The following is a 19891-nucleotide window of genomic DNA, read 5'->3' as shown; positions in this document are numbered from 1 at the left end:
TGCCAACAAGCACAGGGATGGCCTACCAGGGCTGCCGCTGCTCTTCAAGGGGCCGCCAGGGCCATCTGCCGCAGAGCGCTTTTGTAAAAAAATGGCCACCTAGGTAGCATGAGGCATTTGAAGATGAAAATTTTCCCAGCACTTCTGCGAAGGGTGTGTCTTGGATCATTAAAACAGTCTTTGAGAATCTTGAGCCCAAAAGTTTATTATAATCAATGTTTAATTGCAGGAATTTAGTCATTAGAATATGTGTGTGTGTGTGTATATATATATATTTTAAATATATAGCTTTAAAATATTTTGTTGTAGTTTATAAAATTATATAATTCATTATAATTATATAACGTACTATATAGTTACATTATTTATGTAATATTCTTATATAATTTTATAACATATATAGATATGTCCCAGATATATGTAATATATTATGTAGTATATTATATACTTACACTATAAATTATAATAATTAATAATTACAATAATTAATATTTATTATAACAGATTATTATATTATATATTTTAATGTAAGTATATAATACACTACATATTATGTAATATGTTATATATAGTTACATGTATGTAACACATTTATTATGTATACTTTGAACTTTGACCTGTCTGCAAACTTTAATATCTTCCAAATACACACAAAAATCCTGTGACCTCAGCTCTAGGGACTGCTGTAGCACAGCATGACAAGGATTCTATATCCAGTAGAACCTAAATTCCATGAGGCTAGATGTTTGTTTGCTTTGTTTTACTGCTATATTCCCAGCTCCACAGAGTACCTGGCAAAGAGTAAACACTCAATAGATGTTTGTGGAATGAATGAAAGCATCAACGTCTCTGATTGTCACACCATAATAATGCACATTTAGGGCACTGTACAGAGGAATTTTTACCTCCATGTTCTCATTTAAACATTAAATCGTTCCATGAGGTAAGAGGGGAATTTTATTCCCATTTTACAGTGGTCAAAACTAACGCTCAAAAAGATTAATGGGCTTTTCCATGACCACATGGAAGGGGAGTGGAAGAGCTAATAACTGAAGCCAGTCACTGCTCAACACTCCAGTAAATCCTGAGACCATAGATGGGTGCAGGGTGCAAGGGGTCGATATGAATAGTATGGACGTTACAGGAAACTTTAACAAAAACTTTAATTATAAAACAAGTTCTTACCTTGAAAAGAAATGGAATTATCCCCTCAGTGAGAGTCACTAGGAATTACTTTTAGTAATTCATCACTTTTAGTAATTTAGTAAAGTCATCCTTCTCAGTGAGAGTCACAAGGAATTACTTTTAGTGGCTCTAAAAGACTTACCATTTCTATCTCTGATTTCATTTACTGTAGCTCTACAGACAATTTACTATTGTAATTGTAAATGAAATCAGATAGAACTGGAAAGTCTTCACGGAAGGACTGTTGCCAAGTCATGACTCCATCTCAGAGGAGAAACAAGGTGCCTCCTGAAATTCACACTCACAGCACAAAGTAGGACTAGCATCCATGTGCAGAATGTTCAGATGGCCTCGCTCGCCTGCAAGGATATTGCTTGGTTGCATAAGACCCCTTATCACTTACAAAGGGCTGGAGGTGGATCTTCCACAGCTATGTGCAATGTTCCAAACCCTTTATTTTCATACTCCAAAGTGCATGTGATTGTTGCCCACTTGGCAAATTATAAATGGGCCAATTGTGTTTCGGGTTGTGTCATACCCATTACGGGAGAAAGTAGAGACAGGGGCTGTTCCCTACAAGCAGGCCTGGGGCCTCAGGGACGAAATCAGGGACTCCAGGCAGAAGCGGCTTTCAAGGAGAGCCCTATGCCTGACAGAAATGGCTGTGAGAAGACGCACAGTCTGCTTGGGGCTTATTTTTATTATGACAAGCTGACATTGCAGTGGCCTCCCGTGTTCCACCAAAAGCAGGGTTTGGGGGACTGTTCTGAGGCTCTTAAATATTTGGGGAAAGTTTTTTTCTGAAAGCTAAAAGGAGCAACCCTCTGACATTTTGTTCAAAAGCCTTGTTTTGCTTTTCTGCAAATGTTCATTTGGAAAACGCTGTAATAAAATTGGGCTAATGGTGGTGGAATGGTTTTTTTCACCCCTCCCTAGCTGCTGATAACATGTTAGTAGTGGGTTTAAAAGTTTGTTACCCATGATGGGCATGTGATCTAAAAACTTTGCTGACTTTCTCAGCCTGCATGTGAGTGTAGTCAAGTGGGGCCTTACAGCCACTAAGTATTGGGCTTACCTGGGTTTCACAAAATTTATTCAGAAGCCATTTTTCCCTTGAAAAATCAGAGTCCGGAAAGTGGCCCATTGCAAAAAGCAGCAGCTGTTTGGTTACTCATAACCCCGGAATGCTGACTTGATTGTAACAATAAATGGAGCTAACAGAGCAGAAAGAAATGTTCAAAACAGATTAAAACCATAGGCTTTGAAATGTCCTCCATCCTGAGCATTTGCTAAAACACATTTTTAAATCTCTGATCATCAGACCACTTCTTTTTCCCCCAAAGTTTAGTCATATGCTGTAGTTGAATGAACCATGCCCTGAAATTCTTTCCATCTTTTTCTTCTTTTGAAGAGTCATGTACTATCGGTTTTATTTGTGGAAGCCAGAAGGACCATTGTTTCGGTCATGGAAACACTCTGCCTGATTTTACTTTAATCTCTGAGAAAGTCTTTAGAGAGATTCTGAACTGGCATTAGGCAGAAAAGGAAATCCACTCCTTGGAGCAGTAAACCAGGACAATTGCTTGGTGTGGACAGTTACCTCAGTCTGGCCTCTCTGCGATAGGCTTTTGTGAGCTCAGCCTTGCAAGAAGGGAAGTAAATAATGTCCAAAGTGGCAGTGTTTATTCTTCTAGAGGCTTCTGGGTCCAGCCAACTCATACCCATTATGTTTGTGATCTCAAGGGGATGTTTGAGCAGAGAAAACAAAGAATATTTTGCCGACGTGCGAGTTTTCTTTGTTAGAACTTAACACTTGGCGTTCAGTGGTCTTTCCAAATATGTGCTGTTGATTGGGCTTGGGTGATTGGGAGCACATGCTGTCAGTTTCATGCTGTGGGGACTGTGCCCTAGGCGAGGGGGTAGGGAGATCTTGAAAATGGGAAAGAAAGCTGGCTCTACACACCATGCAAGCTTGCTTCTGCCATTTGCATATGTGTACGTGTCAGGGGCCACACAGGGCTCTTCCTAAAGCCCTGCTTTTGATGGGACTTGGGGGGAGTGCACAAACATCAGCTCCTCCTAATAAAAATAAGCCTGAAGCAGTCGGTATGCTTCATTCCTTTGCAATTACTGTCCTTGTGCTCAGCCCTCTGTGTAACAGCCGTTTCATTCATTTTGGCCTTTACCGGATGGCTGGGGGGAATTAATCAGACAAAGAAATCATTATAGATTCAAATCACACACTCCTCCCCAAAGTAGGCTTCTTGTTCTCACTCCCTCTCCCCAGAGAACACTTGAGTGATTTTCCTATCAGTCAGCAGTGGGTCCTGAGGGTGGGCAAGGGCCGGGGGTGCTGAGGAATGGGGGCAGAGTGTCCCGAGGTGGGGGAAAGGCACAGAGGGAGGGTGGGAGGGCGCTGTGCCCAGATCCCCCTGAGAGCCGCCTTCCTGGCTCTGGTCCTGAGTGCCTGTACATGGATGGCTGCAGTTGCAGTTATGAAGGTCTCAGATACCAACTCTTTGAAAACTGTCTCCCAAAGATGGTCTTTCTTTTACAAATCGAAGTTTGAAAAGACCTGAAGATGAGGAGTCAGCATCTTCTATTTGATTCCCATCCTGCCTTCGCCACCCTCCCCAGCCCCACACATACACACAGGAGATAAACAGGACCCAGAGGAGACTGAGAAACCTGTCTGTGAGGCCTCCTGGAGGCCTGGCCTAGGCTATCCTTGCCTGCAAGATGCCCTCCGTGAGCCCAAGGAGACTCTTTCCAGAGGACTATGTCACTGGGGTATTGGATTCCAGTCAGACAGACAGTTTGGGAGATTTGGAGGAGCCTACGTGGTCTGAAGTCATGTGTGATAGATCTAGAAGTGAAACAAGAGAGTTCCCTGACCACCCCGTCGCAGGACCTGTGACAGGGGTGTGGCACATCTGTTCGGCTGTGGTGCCCTCAAACCCCTTATGGGAGGGGGAGCATGCAGATTGGCAGGTGCAGGAACCCAGGCAAGATGCTACCCACAGTACGGTCTAGTGGTGGGTGCCTGTGACTCTCAAAGCCCTCATGGGCAGGCTACAGTATTCTTTTAGCTCTGCCATCCACAGAGGGCTCAAGTGTTAACCAGCTCAGTGACTCTTGGTACCCGACTTCCTGTCTGGCATCCAGGAAGAATCAGGTCACACACGGACTTGAAGGATGGTGAATGTGGGGATTTTATTGGGCGATGGAGGTAGCTGTCATTGGAATGGATGGGGAACTGGAAAGGGGATGGAGTGTGAAGATGATCTTCCCCATAGAGTTTCGCTGTGCTGTGGATGATCAACTGTCTGACCATCCCCGGCCAAACTCCTCTCAACGTTCAGATGCTCCTTCTCTCTCCTTCTCTGCCACGTTGTTCTTCTCCTCCTCTGCTCTTCTATTCATCTGCCCATCTGCTCGTGGAGCCTGGAGTTGGAGGTTTATATGGGTACAGGAGATGGGGACGTGGCAGGCCAAAAGGCAACATCTGGGTGTGGAAACAAGAATGCCTGTTCCCGTTTAGGGCCGTGGGTTTCCAGGCTTGGGGATGGGGCCTTTGCCAGGGAACCTCCCTCTTCTACCCAGTGTTTCCCTGTCTGCTGTCTATATCAGAAGGAGCCATCTGGAGACTAAGGCAGAGTCTAGGGCAATCCCTGAGCAGAAAAGTGGGATGCACTTAGTCAGGTTCCTGGGCATGGGCGTGCTGGGAGCAGGCACAGGGAGGGTGCATAGCATCCCCTTCCTTAGGCTCCAAAACACACCCAGAGAGCTGGTATTTCCACTCCTCCTAAAGAAGCATACGTGTTATATTCAATGTGTGGTCTTAGAAAACATTCAGTTTGCAGGGTAGGTGGAAATTCCTAAAAATATAACTGGGATATTGGTAGCCTTCAGTGAACTCAACTTTCATAACAAAATGGCTTTATGCTAAGACTAATCATATGTGCCAGAGTTAGAAAATCAGACATTTCTTTTTTTAAAGGTCCCCCTAAAATTCAGAAAATCGACTTAATATTGTATGATCTGTAATGTTTCTGCTAGAGAAAGCAGGAAAGCCCACAAAGACATGAAAAAGACAAAAAGAGGAGATAGGGAAGATTCTGGAATAATCTACTCCGTCCTCCTCTGCAATTCTGGCTGATGAAACAAGCAGGCATTTTATGGGTGATTGAACTTGTGTGTTCCTAAGGCACAGGGAGTGCCTTTGAAAACTCAGCTCAAGTTTATAGTGCATCCCCACCCAGGGAGGCTGAGATTTCAATCTCTAATAATCATAGAACCCAAGGAGCCGGGGGTCAAAATGAGCCAGAGCAAGGGCCTGTAATTGCTTAAAATATTTTTTAAAGTCTTTTTTCCTACATCCCATGTTAGATCTATGGAGGCCCCGATTTCCACTCTCCCAGAATAGCCCAACTGTGTACCCAGAGATCACCTGAGAACCCCATGCAGGTCTCCAGCACTGGAAATGAGCTAGCAATTCGATTCAAGACCGACTTGTCCATAAATGGGAGAGGCTTCAATGCGTCATGGCAAGCAGTCACTGGAGGTGAGTGAGAAAAGGAGGTTTCCTAAAGTACTTAAGCCGAGCCCTCGTTAAATTTCATGAAATGCTTGGGAAAACGTATGAAGGCTACACACTTATAACTTAGTGACATCCCAAAGGGCAGCCTACTGAGACCTGACATATACCCTTCCCTAAAATACGTGATAAAGTTTAACTTCCTAAGGGTCACCACATATGTGAAAGCAAGAATGTAAGTGTGTAAGTCCATGGTGAGAGCAGAACTAGGGTGATAGGCCAGACCCACTCTCCAAGGGCTCGTACCTCTTAACCAGCCTCCATACCTCATGCCATAGTACAGACCTTTAGATTCTTGGCAAATATCAAACTTGCAAACATTAAATTTGTGAATCCCAAGGAATTACTGTGTGTTCTATGGTGACTTTCTGCCCAAGATTTTAGGCAGTCTAAATAAATTGCCTATTGTATATTTTTAAACTATAGCAAAAATCTATGGCACAAAATAGTGTAACAGATGTTAGCATATGCAACTACTAGAGATAGCCACATTTGCAGAATGCTTACTGTGTACTAGGCACTTTTCTAACTATTTTATGAGGATTATCTCTAGTCCTTACAACCACCCTGTGAGGGAAGTCCGCTTCATATCCTCATCTTACCAGTGTGGACACTGAAGCTTAGAAAGGTTAGTGTCTTGCCCAAAGTTCCACAGCTAGAAAACGTCAAAGCACATATGTGATTCCAGACTACCTTATGGCCACACTTCTTCAACTCTATCATAACCAAGGTATCTATATAAGAGCTCTCCCCTAAAGTTAATTATGTAGGAATTTAAATAAACACACACACACACACAGACACACACATTTAGTGTTTAGATTACCCCTGAATGATTCTCCATTATTAGAAAATAGTGCCAAAGTTTTCTATTATTGGCTTATATTATCATAAATCCAAGAAATGGTGGGTCATAGAGAAGACATTGAACTAACAGGTATTTGATAACATCAAAGGAATTTTAAAAAACCTAAGTAACTGTACTATATCCGAATATTAAATTTTTAAAGGGTAGATATTAAATTATTTTTAAATGCATGCACTACTAGATTATCACAATTCTTGGAAGGAAACATGTTATTCTTCCAGTATGCTATATTTTTAGAGGACAGTGAAGAAGCAGCATTCCATGGCTTTGTGAAAACGTGATTTCATTTGCGTTTCCTTTTAATTATTTTTAAAATAAATTTTGGCATCTGTATTTAAAGTGTTTGAAGTATTTTCTTAGTATCATCCATGTCATCCCTTCTTATTCTGTTGGGATAAATGGCTTAATGTGGATATCAAATTCTTCAGTGTTTTTAGCATCGACTAACTGATTCAAGCAAAGTAATGTATTGATCTATACAACCAGGTAATGGATTATTTTCGAGCATCCATGATTCCTCTCATGAAATAATTGTGTTCCCCACTTCCAGGTTGTGGTGGGATTTTCCAGGCTCCCAGTGGAGAGATTCATTCTCCAAATTACCCCAGTCCTTATAGGAGCAACACAGACTGTTCTTGGGTCATTCGGGTTGACAGAAATCATCGTGTTCTCTTGAACTTCACTGACTTTGATCTTGAACCACAAGACTCTTGTATTATGGTAAGTGACATAAATTTCAAGCATTGTCTCCAGTCAAACCTCGGTCAAAACACTGCCATATAAGCATATTTAGTGAATGTATTACTTATGGGTGTTTTTAATGTCGATTCATAGGAAACCAAACTATTGGCAACTTAAAATATAAGGACATTTATTTTTTACCTAAAAACAAATCAGGAAGTAGATAATCTCTAGGTTTTTTAGCAAGTCAGTTTCTGCGCTACCATTATTAGCCTGTTGGCTTTTCATTTTGTTGTTACTTCATTGTCAAAAAATGGCTGCAGTGGTTTTTATCTGAATGTCCTACCTGAGTCTACCTCTGAAAAAAGGAAGAAGCAATAGTGTTAACTATTTCTGTTTTGTTTGTGTTTCTTTTAATAAGGAAAGCAAATTTTCCAAAAAAGCCCCTGATATATCATTAGCCAGAACTGACTACAAAAGAGATCCAGAAAGTATCATGGAATAGATTTATCATAAATGTTTTAGATCAATTATTATTATTAAGCATCTGGGATTTTCACAGGATTCTGCTTCTCTTGAGACAAGGATATCTTGATTTGCTACTTGAACAAATCCATGTTCTGATAGAACAGGTTGGGAGATGGGAGTGGAGGAGAAGGAATATGGCTATGAATTGGTCAGATGACAAAAAGAGTTTCTGCTACTGAGATGGGAGGGTTTCCTTGACTCCTTTACAGGACTTGCGAAGGGGGTGGCTTATTTGCTTGGCTGCCTCGCTGAATTCAGGAGGGAGCACACGAATAGACGAATGCAGGAACCGGGGTGAACGAACCCTAGAACTGGCTGGTCCCTCATCTCTGGTGGGAGCAGGCTCTGTGCACGGCCCACGGCAGCGTCCAAGCTTGTTACAATGCTCTTTTAGCTCTGCCATCTCGGAGAGGGTGTCTGCGACCCCAAAAGCCCCAAAGGGCATGTGTTGCAATCAGTGCTCTTTTAGCATTTGCCGTCCATGGACAGCTAAGTGTTAACCAGCTCAGTGGAGGGTCAGGGTGACAGCCTTTTACACCCTGACCTCTTGGTACCCAAGTTCTTGTCCAGTGTCCAGGAAGAATCAGGTCACACGAACAAATTGAAGGGTGGTGAATGTGGATAACTTTATTAAGAGGTAGAAGTGGCTCTCAGCAGGAAGGCGAGCTTGAAAGAGGTTGGAGGAAGTGGGTTGCAGGAGTCTGGCCTTCCTTGGCTGAACTCCTCTCTGACCATAGTCTCCGATGTCCAGCTCCTTCTTCTCCTCTTGACGTTCAGACACTTCTCTCTTCTGTGTGTGTGTGTGTGTGTGTGTGTCTGCTGAGTCTGGGGCTTGGAGTTCTTATGGGCACCAGATGGGCGCAGGGCAGGCCAAAAGGCAACATTTGGGTGGGAAAACAGGGATGGTTCTCACTTTGAGTGGCAGATCCAGGCTTGAGGGTGGAGCACTCACCAGGGACCTCAACCTCTTCTACCAAGCATTTTCCTGCCTTCTGGCCCATCACTACTACCAACACTTTTAATGCATTCCTACCTGAAACTAATGCTTTGCGCTTCATATAAGAGTGAATGAAGTTCTATTTTGAAGGGTTTTTTTTTTCTTTCTGTTTTTAAATTTTTTGGCTACCTAATTTTCTTTTATTATTGTTATTATTATTATACTTTAAGTTCTGGGATACATGTGTAGAAGCTGCAGGTTTGTTATATAGGTATACACGTGCCATGGTGGTTTGCTGCACTCATCAACCCGTCATCTACATAAGGTATTTCTCCTAATGCTATCCCTCCCTTAGCCCCCCACCCCTCGACAGGCACCGGTGTGTGATGTTCCCCTCCCTGTGTCCATGCGTTCTCATTGTTCAACTCCCACTTACGAGTGAGAATATGCGGTGTTTGGTTTTTTGTTCCTGTGTTAGTTTGCTGAGAATGATGGTTTCCAGCTTCATCCATGTCCCTTCAAAGTACATGAACTCATCCTTTTTTATGGCTACAAAGTATTCCATGGTGTATAGGTGCCACATTTTCTTTATCCAGCCTATCATTGATGCACATTTGGGTTGGTTCCAAGTCTTTGCCATTGTGAATAGTGCTGCAGTAAACATACGTGTGCATCTCTCTTTATAGTAGAATGATTTATAATCCTTTGGTTATATACCCAGTAATGGGATTGCTGAGTCAAATGGTATTACTGGTTCTAGATCCTTGAGGAATTGCCACATTGTCTTCCACAATGGTTGAACTAATTTACACTCCCACCAACGAGTAAAAACGTTCCTATTTCTCCACATCCTTGCCAGCATCTGTTGTTTCCTGACTTTTTAATAATTGCCATTCTAACTGGCGTGAGATGGTATCTCATTGTGGTTTTGATTTACATTTCTCTAAGGACCAGTGATGGTGAACTTTTTTTTTCATATGTTTGTTGGCTGCATAAATGTCTTCTTTTAAGTGTCTGTTCATATCCTTTGCCCACTTTTTGATGAGGTTGTTTATTTTTTTCTTGTAAATTTGTTTAAGTTTCTTGTAGATTCTGGATATTAGCCCTTTGTCAGCTGGATAGATTGCAAAAATTTTCTCCTATTCTGTAGATTGCCTGTTCACTCTGGTGATAGTTTCTTTTGCTATGAAGAAGCTCTTTAGTTTAATTAGATCCCATTTGTTAATTTTGGCTTTTGTTACCATTGCTCTTGGTGTTTAAATCATGAAGTCTTTGCCCATGCCTATGTCCTGAATGGTATTGCCTGGGTTTTCTTCTAGGGTTTTTATGATTTTAGGTTTTACATTTAAGTCTTTAATCCATCTTGAGTTAATTTTTGTATAAGGTGTAAGGAAGGGGTCCAATTTCAGTTTTCTGCATATGGCTAGCCAGTTTTCCCAACACCATTTATTAAATAGGGAATCCTTTCCTCATTGCTTGTTTTTGTCAGGTTTGTTAAAGATCAGATGGTTGTAGATGTGTGGCGTTATTTCTGAGGCCTTTCTTCTGTTCCATTGGTCTGTATATCTCTTTTGGTACCAGTACCATGCTGTTTTGGTTACTGTAGGCTTGTAGTATAGTTTGAAGTCAGGTAACGTTATGTCTCCAGCTTTGTTCTTTTTGCTTAGGATTGTCTTGGCTGTACAGGCTCTTTTTTTGTTCCACATGAAATTTAGAGTTTTTTTTCTAATTCCGTGAAGAAAGTCAATGGTAGCTTGATGGATATAGCATTGAATCTATAAATTACTTTGGACATTATGGCCATTTTCATGATATTAATTCTTCCTATCCACGAGCATGGAATGTTTTTCCATTTGTTTGTGTCCTCTCTTATTTCCTTGAGCAGTGGTTTATAATTCTCCTTGAAGAGATCCTTCACATCCCTTGTAAGTTGTATTCCTAGGTATTTTATTCTCTTTGTAGCAATTGTGAATGGGAGTTCACTCATGATTTGGCTTTCTGTTTGGCTATTACTGGTGTATAGGAATGCTTGTGATTTTTGCACATTGATTTTGTGTCCTGAGACTTTGCTGAAGTTGCCTCTGTCTCAGCTTAAGAAGATTTTGGGCTGCGACGATGGGGTTTTCTAAATATACAATCATGTCATCTGCAACAGAGACAATTTGACTTCCTCTCTATTTGAATATGCTTTGTTTCTTTCTCTTGCCTGATTGCTGTGACCTGAACTTCCAATACTATGTTGAATAGGAGTGGTTAGAGAGGGCACCCTTGTCTTGTTCCGGGCTACCTGATTTTCTAACAAAAAGTTTTTCATCTTTCATTTGTGTATATCAACATTTCATTCAAATACAAACCAGATTCTCTTGGTTACTGGATCTTTCAATGTTAGTGTCCTGATAGTTTCCTACACAAGATCCAACTGGCTAGCTTCTTTCAAATTTAACCCAAGAAAACTCAAAGGTTTGTTTACATTTTTCCAAGTAGTCCATTTTAATGGTATGATTTCAATATTATTTTACAAGATTAGGTTATTAATGAAAGTTAAGTTTATTTATCACTGTATATTAACCATCCAAATGAGTCTTCAGAGTCTAAGTTGGCTAAGCATCATGCAGACTGAAAGCGTAGAACATCCAGCTACTCTCCTGACAAAGACCATTTTGAAATTTTGGATGACATTTACAAACATCTTTCTAAAAGTAGCCAATGGTTCATGAGGTAGTGTGAAGTTTCTGAGTGAATATCTGAGAGAGGTGTGAGTCCAGTCTTTGGGACCATTTTTTCCTGCAGGGCCTTTACTGATCCACAAAGGTTTAGCAGCTCTTCTGAGAGCCTCTCAGGACAAAGAGGACCAAAGTTTGAGTCCAGAGCTTTGTTAGAGTGGCAGTCTTGGTAAGCCATTCGTATCTTAGGTAAAATGAAAGGAAAACAGCCTTCACTGAGACTGCATTCAATATTTGAGTTACCTGAGTGAATCCCCAAAATCTGAAGCCATGAAATAATGAGAGTGAATCTTGTATTTCTCGTGCATCTAGGCACTGGACATCCAGCAAAAGCAATTTAAAATCTTCTTCAAAGAGAGATATTAACATTCTAGACATCATTTCTACCTATAATTTTTCATGTGTAATAGCCGATTAAATAAGAGAGTTCCCTGACCTCCGTTACAGGACATTCAACAGGGGTGTGTCTCATCTGTTCAAGTGCTGCAGGTTCAAACCCCTTATGGGCAGGGAAACATGCAGACAGGGGTGCAGGAGCCGGGGAGAGTGCTTCTGGACTCCGGGCCCCATGGTAGCATCTAGGGGTGGGTGCCTACAACTCCCAGAGCCCTAGTGGGCATGCTACAGTGCTCTTTTAGCTCTGCCATCCTCAGATGGCTTAAGTTTTAACCAGCTCAGTGTCCTCTTGGTACCCATCTTCTTGTTTGGTGTCCAGGAAGAATCAGGTCACACATGGACTTGAAGGATGGTGAATGCAGGGGTTTTACTGGATGATGGAGACAGCTCCCAGTGGGATGGATGGGGAGCTGGAAAGGGGGTGGAAAGGGAAGATGATCCTCCCCCTGGAGTTCACTGTCCCATGGCCGATTTCTTCTTTGACTGACCCTGGCTGAACTCCTCTCAATGTTCAGATGCTCCTTCTCTTCTCTCTTTCTCTGCTGTACTGCTCTTCTGCTCCTCTGCTCTTCTATTTATCTGCTCATCTGCTTGTCTACTTTTGAAGCCTGGGTTTAGGGGTTTATATGAATACAGGATAAGGGGGTGTGGCAGGCCAAAAGGCAAAATTTGGGTGTGGAAACAGGAATGCCTGTTCCCATTTAGGGCCATGGGTTTCCAGGCTTGAGAGTGGGGCCTTTGCTGGGGAACTGCCCTCTTCTACCTAGTATTTCCCTGTATCCTGTGTGTATCACCAACACACTATCAAAGATAGTCATGTACTTGAGGGGACAATATAACAAAAATGAGATGTAATATGAGTAAGAGACAATAGAAACAAATCCACTAATATGCCAGATAGTAAAGTTACCTGGCACACTTGCTATACAACTGTGATTACTCAACTCATGGAAATAAAAGTCAAACTGAGAACTTTCAGCAAGGAACTGCATACTATAGAAAGTGACATTGCAATATGAAGAAGACCCAACTACAAATTTGAGAACTGATAAATACCATAGCTAAAATTAACACCTCAGCAGAAGGCTTTTTGGGGGGACTAGGCAGAGATGAAGAGATAAATAGTGACTACAGAGAAACAGTGAACTGGAAGATAAGTCAAGAATCTACTCAGAAAAAAGTATGGATAAAAAAAGGATGAAAAATATATAAGAGAGGTTAAGACACATAGAGGACACTCAGAAAATATATAACACACACTTAATTGGAGTCTCACAAGGAAAAGAGAGATATATGGAACAGAAGCAAACTTTGAAGAGCTACTGACTAAAATTTTTCCAAAACTGGTGGAAGTCATCATTAAAAAAATAGAATCTCAAGGAACCCAAACAGCAAAGCAGGATAAATAGAATGACGTACTTTTCTAAAAAAAAAATAATAATAACAAAGATAAAGAGAAAATGTTACAGTCAGCTAGAGGAGTAGGTAGGTGGGGAACAGATTGCTTGTTAGAAAGTAGAGACTAAATGCTGACTTTTCAACCAGGATTGGAAGTAAAAAAAATTTTTTTAAAGACAATAGACTGATATATTCAGATTAAAGAAAAAAAAGTAACTACCGGCCAGGAACTCTATGCTCTCCTAAAATTCCTTTAAGAATGAAGGTGAGGATGTGTATGGTAGATCACACCTGTAATTTCAGCACTTTGGGAGCATGAGGCAAGAGGATCACTTGAGCCCAGGAGTTTGAGACCAGCCTGGGCAATGTAGTGAGACCCTGTCTCTACAAAACAGTTAAAAAATTAGCCAAGCATGGTGGCACAGACCTGTAATCCCAGCTACTTGGGAGGCTGAGGTGAAAGGATCACTTGAGGGTGGAAGGCAGGAGTTGCAGTGAGCACAGATCTTGCCACTGCACTTCAGCCTAGGCAACAAGCAAGACCCTGTCTGTTAAAAAAAAAAAAAAAAAGGAATAAAGGTGAAATAAATATTGAAGCAAAAGAAGGGTCTTGGCCTGGCGTGGTGGCTCACAACTGTAATCCCAGCACTTTGGGAGGCCTAGGCAGGCAGATCATGAAGTCAGGAGGTCGAGACCATCCTGGCCAACATGGTGAAACCCCATCTCTATTAAAAATACAAAAACTAGCTGGGTGTGGTGGTGTGTGCTTGTAATCCCAGCGACTTGGGAGGCTGAGGCATGAGAATCGCTTGAACCCAGGAGGTGGAGGTTGCAGTGAGCCAAGATTGCACCACTGCACTCCAGCCTGGCGACACAGCGAGACTCCTTCTCAAAAAAAAAAAAAAAAAAAAAAAAAGAAGGTCTTTAAGAGAAGTTTGAATGGGCCAGAGACAAAGCTACTTATAGTTTTGACCATGGTGGGTATTGCTCTACCCCTTGTTTCCTCCCTCGTCTGCATGGTGTTCTTTTCTTTGATACAGTGCAGAATCCATGGAATTTAACATACAAAGTGTGTCACCAAACCAAAGCCTAGGTCAACAGCATGCCAGCATGGCTAGGATTTTCCCTCTTGTGGTCATGAGGAGGGTTTTCCACCTACATGGGACATAAACACACAGACAAGGTTTTCTATGAACACTGCCATATTTCAGCATGCAGCTGGGCTTGGCTTAACAAAGTGCAGCAGGAGGAAACAGCAGGAGTGAAACCTCAAATGTGATCGGGTCTTAGGCACGGAGATGGAAAATAAACTCAAAAACAAGTGCTGGGAGGAGTTTGGGCTGGTAGGTAAGGCAAAATATAAAATGTAATAATAGTCCAAACAAGTTGTCAGAATCAGATAATGCTGTATGAAGTACAGTTGACTCTTGAACAATGCTGGGATTAGGGTCATTGGCCCCCTGCTTCCCTGTCGTGCAGTGAAAAATCTACATACAACTTTCAAGTCCCCCAAAACTTAACTACTAATACCTATGACGGACAGAAGGCTTACCATTAACATAAACAGTCAATTAACAGATATTTTATATGTTTTATATATTACATACTGTATTCTTTCAACAAAGTAAGCTAGAGAAAATAAAATGCTATCAAGAAAACTGTAAAGAAGAGAAAATATATTTACTATTTATTAAGTGGAAGTTGATCATCATAAAGGTCTTCATCCTCATCATCTTCACATTGAGTGGGTTGGGGAGGAAGAGGGAGGGGGCGCTAGTCTTGCTGTCTCAGGGGTGGCAGAGACGGAAGAAAATCTGTGTTTAAGTGGACCCAGGCAGTTCAAACCTCTGTTGTTCAAGAGTTAACTGTAGGCCGGGCGCGGTGGCTCACGCCTGTAATCCCAGCACTTTAGGAGGCCGAGGCGGGGGGATCACGAGGTCAGGAGATCGAGACCATCCTGGCTAACATGGTGAAACCCCGTCTCTACTAAAAATATAAAAAGCAGCCAGGCATGGCGGGAACTCGGGAGGCAGAGCTTGCATTGAGCCAAGATCACGCCACTGCACTCCAGCCTGGGCGACAGAGTGAGACTCCCTCTCAAAAAAAAAAAAGAGTTAATTGTAGTTGGAAAATCCCAGCCAGTGGGCAGAAGAGACATTAGAAGCAAATACCTCTAAGAACCCAGGCAAGACATTAAAATAAGAAGTGAGCCACACCGATAGTGTGAGTCAGCACAGTGCTTCAGCTAAGAAATCTAGCTCTAATATAGGGTGGTTCTGGGGCTGAGCCTGGACTTTGTGATATTCTAGCTGTGTTCTTTGGAAGAAAGTTAACCTTTCAGCTTCAGTTTCCTTAATGGAAATGGGGATAATAAGAGGACCTAGGTCAGATTTATTGTTAGGTATTTGAGATAATATAGATGACCTGCTTGCTGTCACATAGAGAGTTCTCCACTTGTGCTAGCCATTATGATGCTGCTGATGGTGAGTGTTTTGGGGGAGGTTCATTTAATGAGGACTAGAAGAAGAGACAGCGCGGAATACTAGGAGCAGAAATGCACTTAGAAGTCAGAGTCAGACATGCATGCCCGTGTTCATCGCGGCACTGTCCACGATAGCAAAGGCATGGAATCAACCTAGATGCCCATCAATGGTGGATGGGATGAAGAAAACGTGCTACGTATACACCAGGGAATGTGACACAGCCACAAGAATGAACAAGACCATGTCCTTTTCAGCAACATGGATGGAGCTGGAGGCCATAATCCTAAATGAAGTAACACAGGAACAGAAAACTAAATACTGCATGTTCTCACTCAGGAGTGGGAGCTAAACACTGAGTACATATGGACACAAAGAAGGGAACAACAGGCGCCAGGGCCTACTTGAGGTTGGAAGCTGGGAGGAGGGAGCAAGTTGAAAACCACCCATCACGTTCTTTGCTCATTACCTGGGTGACAAAATAGACTGTACACCAAACCCCCATGACAGGCAATTTACCTCTATAGCAAACCTGCACATGGACCCTTGAACCTAAGGTGAAAGGTTTTTAGAAAAAGAAGTCAGGGTCAGGACTTGCCGTCTGTAATTCTGGGCCTCAAGCTCTTAAGCAGAAGAGCCCACTTTCGAATCTTCCTCGTAGTATAGCACCTAGGATTTAGCATATCTAGGGCTCAGTGCTCTGGAATCATTGTGAAAATGGCCGACATCATTCATTTGGGCCTGGAAGCCAGGGAAGCGTTCACACTGGAGGCGACATTTAAGTGGCAGAGTCTCGCCAGTAGAAATGCAGCAGTGAGGCCACGAGGGGAGGCTGCAAGGGAAGGATGGGGAAATGGTGCACGCACATTTGGGAATAAAAAATGAGAGTGTTGTCCCTGGAGCGTGAAGAAATGCCGGGGAGCATGTGGAGACCAAGGGGCTACAGAAGACATCTGAGCTCTCTTCTGCTCCAGTTAAGAATTTGAAATTATCCTATAGGTAGTATGGAGTCAGTGAAAATTTTCTGTAAAACGGGAATAACATACTCAGAGCTGTATTCTACAGTGACAACAGGCAGCAGTGTGTGAAGAATGGCTTGGCAGAGAAAAAGAAAGATGGTAGCATGTCTGTTTGGGAAGCAATGGAAAAAGCTTGGATCAGAGGTGATAAGGTCTCATAGTAGGCAGTGGTCTTGGGACACATGGAGAGCGCAGGGACACGTGGAGAACTGTCACGGTGGCAGTCACTAGAATTAGAGGCTAATTACATGGTGGTGGGTGGGGCTGGTGATAGAGATGGTGGGGGGAAGCCTATTTGCTTGAAGAATGAATGAATGGCCGGGAGTGATGGCTCATACCTGTAATTCCAGCACTTTGGGAGGCCGAGACAGGAGAATTGTTTGAGCTCAGGAGTTTGACACCAGCCTGGACCCCATCTCTGCAAAAAAATTAAAAAATTAGCCTGGCCAAGTGGCACATACCTGTATTCCCAGTAACTCAGGAGGTTGAGGTGGGAGGATGGCTTGAGCATGGGAGGTCGAGGCTGCGGTGAGCTGTGATCACACCACTGTACTCCAGCCTGGGTGACAGCATGACCCTGTTTCAAAAAAAAAAAAAATTGTGAATGATGAGGCCATTAACTGAGTAAAGGGAGTAGATGATAGTGAGTTTGACTTGTAAACTTTTGGGTTTAAATATTATATAGTTTGACATAAGAGTTCAGAGCTTGGGATAGGATCTGAGCTAGACATATACAATTGAGGATAATTTCTGTATATTGGGTGGTTATTAAAGTTGTGGGAGTAGGTATGATCACTTTTAGGAGTATTTTACCAAGAGAAAGGGGCCAAGCCAACTCCTGGGGAAACACTGCCATGTAACGGGTGGATGAAAGATCAGAGGAGAGGAGGCTGAGGAGGTGCGCTGAGTGCTTGGTGGAGAACCAGAAGAGAGTGGTAGCATTCAAACCACGAGGGAAGCTGAATTTCAAGGGTGGGTGATCAAAGGTATCAAATCCCATGCAGGATGCCAACGAGCGTGAGGATTGCAACAAAGCCCCTGGATTCCGTCTTTAATAACCTGCAAGGAGCAGGATTGTGGCGGGTGGTGGTGGAAGACTCAAGGTCACAGTGGTTAGGAGGTGCAGGAGCTTCTGAGCTTTTCCCCAGAGTTACGGAAATGAGTGGCATAAGGAGAAAATGGGCAGTAACCAATGGGTTAACCAAAATCAGTGGAGAGTTGGTTTTTTAAAAAAAATGGAGAAATATAAGTTGTGTGAAGAGGGCAGGTGGAAAAAGAGCAGCTGAATGTGAGAGCCAGGCGAACAGTAGAGAAAATCATGTTTTCAGGACAGAGACACCAAGAAGCGCCAGATTGGTTCTATGAATGTTGTACTTTTTAGAATAAGAAATTGAAACCCATGGCTTGGCACAAGATTTTTCTGATTTATAAATTCATTATGTTAAAAATTGCATAAATTGTATACAAACTAAGTCATTTTTTCTTGGATGATTTATAAATCAACTTTACAAAAAGATAAGGAAGTTTTAAAAGAAAACAAGACTGTCCAGGTAAGTTGGGGTAGAGATCTGCTATATATTTGCCAAATGTGCCCACTTAAGGGGACAGGAGGTCTGCAGAGGTTTGGAACCAGACCAGGCAATGCCCTGGCAAGGCTGGAAGCTTGTTAGTTAGTTGTCCAGGGATTCATGAAGGCCGGAGTTGAAGCACCAGCCCTCTATCTTTACAGCCAGATGGACACTGGACGGGAAACGTACCCCAAAGTCCAACATCTTACATAATATCTCTGCAGTCTCAGTTCATATAAAGCCAATCCTTCATTTTGGAGACATTCAAGTTAATGTCCTGGTCCTGTTGCTTAGACAGAGTTATTAGCAAAGAGAAAAATATTCAGTTGCCAGTGATGCTGTCAGATAATGTTGGGGTTCAGGAGATTTTTAACAGAGTTCAAGTGTACTCTTTAAATACCAGTGAAAATTATGCTGGAATGGGACCAGCCATCCTGTTTTTTCAAAACTTCTATAACAATTTGGGTTGTTAGAAGAAGAAATAGTAATTTAGCTGTATGTTAAATATGATTTCACATATGATTAACTGTCATAAACCTATAGATACATAGAATGTTAAGGTTGGAAGAAGAAAGCTTAGAGTTCGTTTGCTGTTGTCACCTAATTTTTTAAAAAAAGACATTGAGGTGGAGGTGGGGCAGTGCAAAAAATAAAAATTAATTAAAAAATAAAAAAGATACTGAGATCCAGAAATGTCAGGGTCAAGGCTAAGTAGAAATTAACAGCAGGATCAGCACTAAAACGAAAGCCTTATGCTTCCTACGAAGTGAATAAGTATTTTGGTAAAATATAAAAATTGCAGTTATGTACAGGATACGGAATGGCAGACTAGAAAAATAGAGGGAGAAAATAAATTTAGGGTCAGGCTGGAGCCACTTTGATTTTTTTTTTTTTTTTGAGATGGAGTTTCACTCTTGTTGCCCAGGCTGGAGTGCAAAGGTGTGATCTCAGCTCACTGCGACCTCCACCTCCCAGGTTCAAGCAATTCTCCTGCCTCAGCCTCCCAAGTAGCTGGGATTACAGGCATGTGCCACCATGCCCGGCTAATATTTTGTGTTTTTAGTGGAGATGGGGTTTCACCATGTTGGCCAGGCTGGTTTTGAACTTCTGACCTCAGGTGATCCACCCGCCTCGGCCTCTGATTACAGGTGTGAATGCTGGGATTATAGGCGTGAGCCACCGTGCCCAGCCCACTTTCACTTCTATATCTGATAAGCCCAGCCTTCATTTGTCAATAGAAGGAAAAGTGTTAAGAATTCAAATATGAAATGGAAAGTGTCCTTGCTTTGAAGTCAGGAGGTCAGGGTTTCCTTCATTACTTTCCCCTTCGGTGCCAAATATGTACCAGACACTGCCAGGTGCTTGTTTCTGGACGTGTACCACCCCTCACCCTCTTCATGGCTTGGGGTTCTTAGTTTGCTTATTTAGAAAATCAGGTGCCTGGGGAACAGAAGCAGAAAGAAGAAAACTAAGGAAGAGGATTCAGTTAGGAGTTGCATTTGTGGGTAAGA

The 19891-nt window shown here is 42.3% G+C and overlaps 1 protein-coding gene across 5 annotated transcripts in view, besides 1 other annotated feature; it reads left to right on the top strand.

The window, feature by feature from the left end:
* CUBN (cubilin) overlaps nucleotides 1-19891 on the top strand; it is a 305846-nt gene that overhangs the window by 139958 nt on the left and 145997 nt on the right. For all 5 annotated transcript variants that reach the window (NM_001081.4, XM_011519710.3, XM_011519709.3 and 2 more), the window contains 2 exons: nucleotides 5575-5749; nucleotides 7201-7370. In NM_001081.4, the coding sequence (NP_001072.2) occupies nucleotides 5575-5749; nucleotides 7201-7370 (345 nt within the window). The remainder of the gene's footprint in view (nucleotides 1-5574; nucleotides 5750-7200; nucleotides 7371-19891) is intronic.
* Nucleotides 4814-4973: a silencer, noted in NCBI's record as "fragment chr10:17026880-17027039 (GRCh37/hg19 assembly coordinates)". NCBI's record gives its function as "represses an EF-1alpha promoter that drives an FKBP-Casp9 reporter gene in an ReSE screen in phorbol 12-myristate 13-acetate-treated (for megakaryocytic differentiation) K562 erythroleukemia cells {active_cell/tissue: K562(+PMA)}" and the evidence as "EXISTENCE:reporter gene assay evidence [ECO:0000049][PMID:32094911]".

Source organism: Homo sapiens, chromosome 10, assembly GCF_000001405.40.
Source record: "Homo sapiens chromosome 10, GRCh38.p14 Primary Assembly".
Classification (NCBI taxonomy): domain Eukaryota; kingdom Metazoa; phylum Chordata; class Mammalia; order Primates; family Hominidae; genus Homo; species Homo sapiens.
Note: the sequence above shows the minus strand (reverse complement) of the source record. Positions and strands in the feature narration are given on the sequence as shown.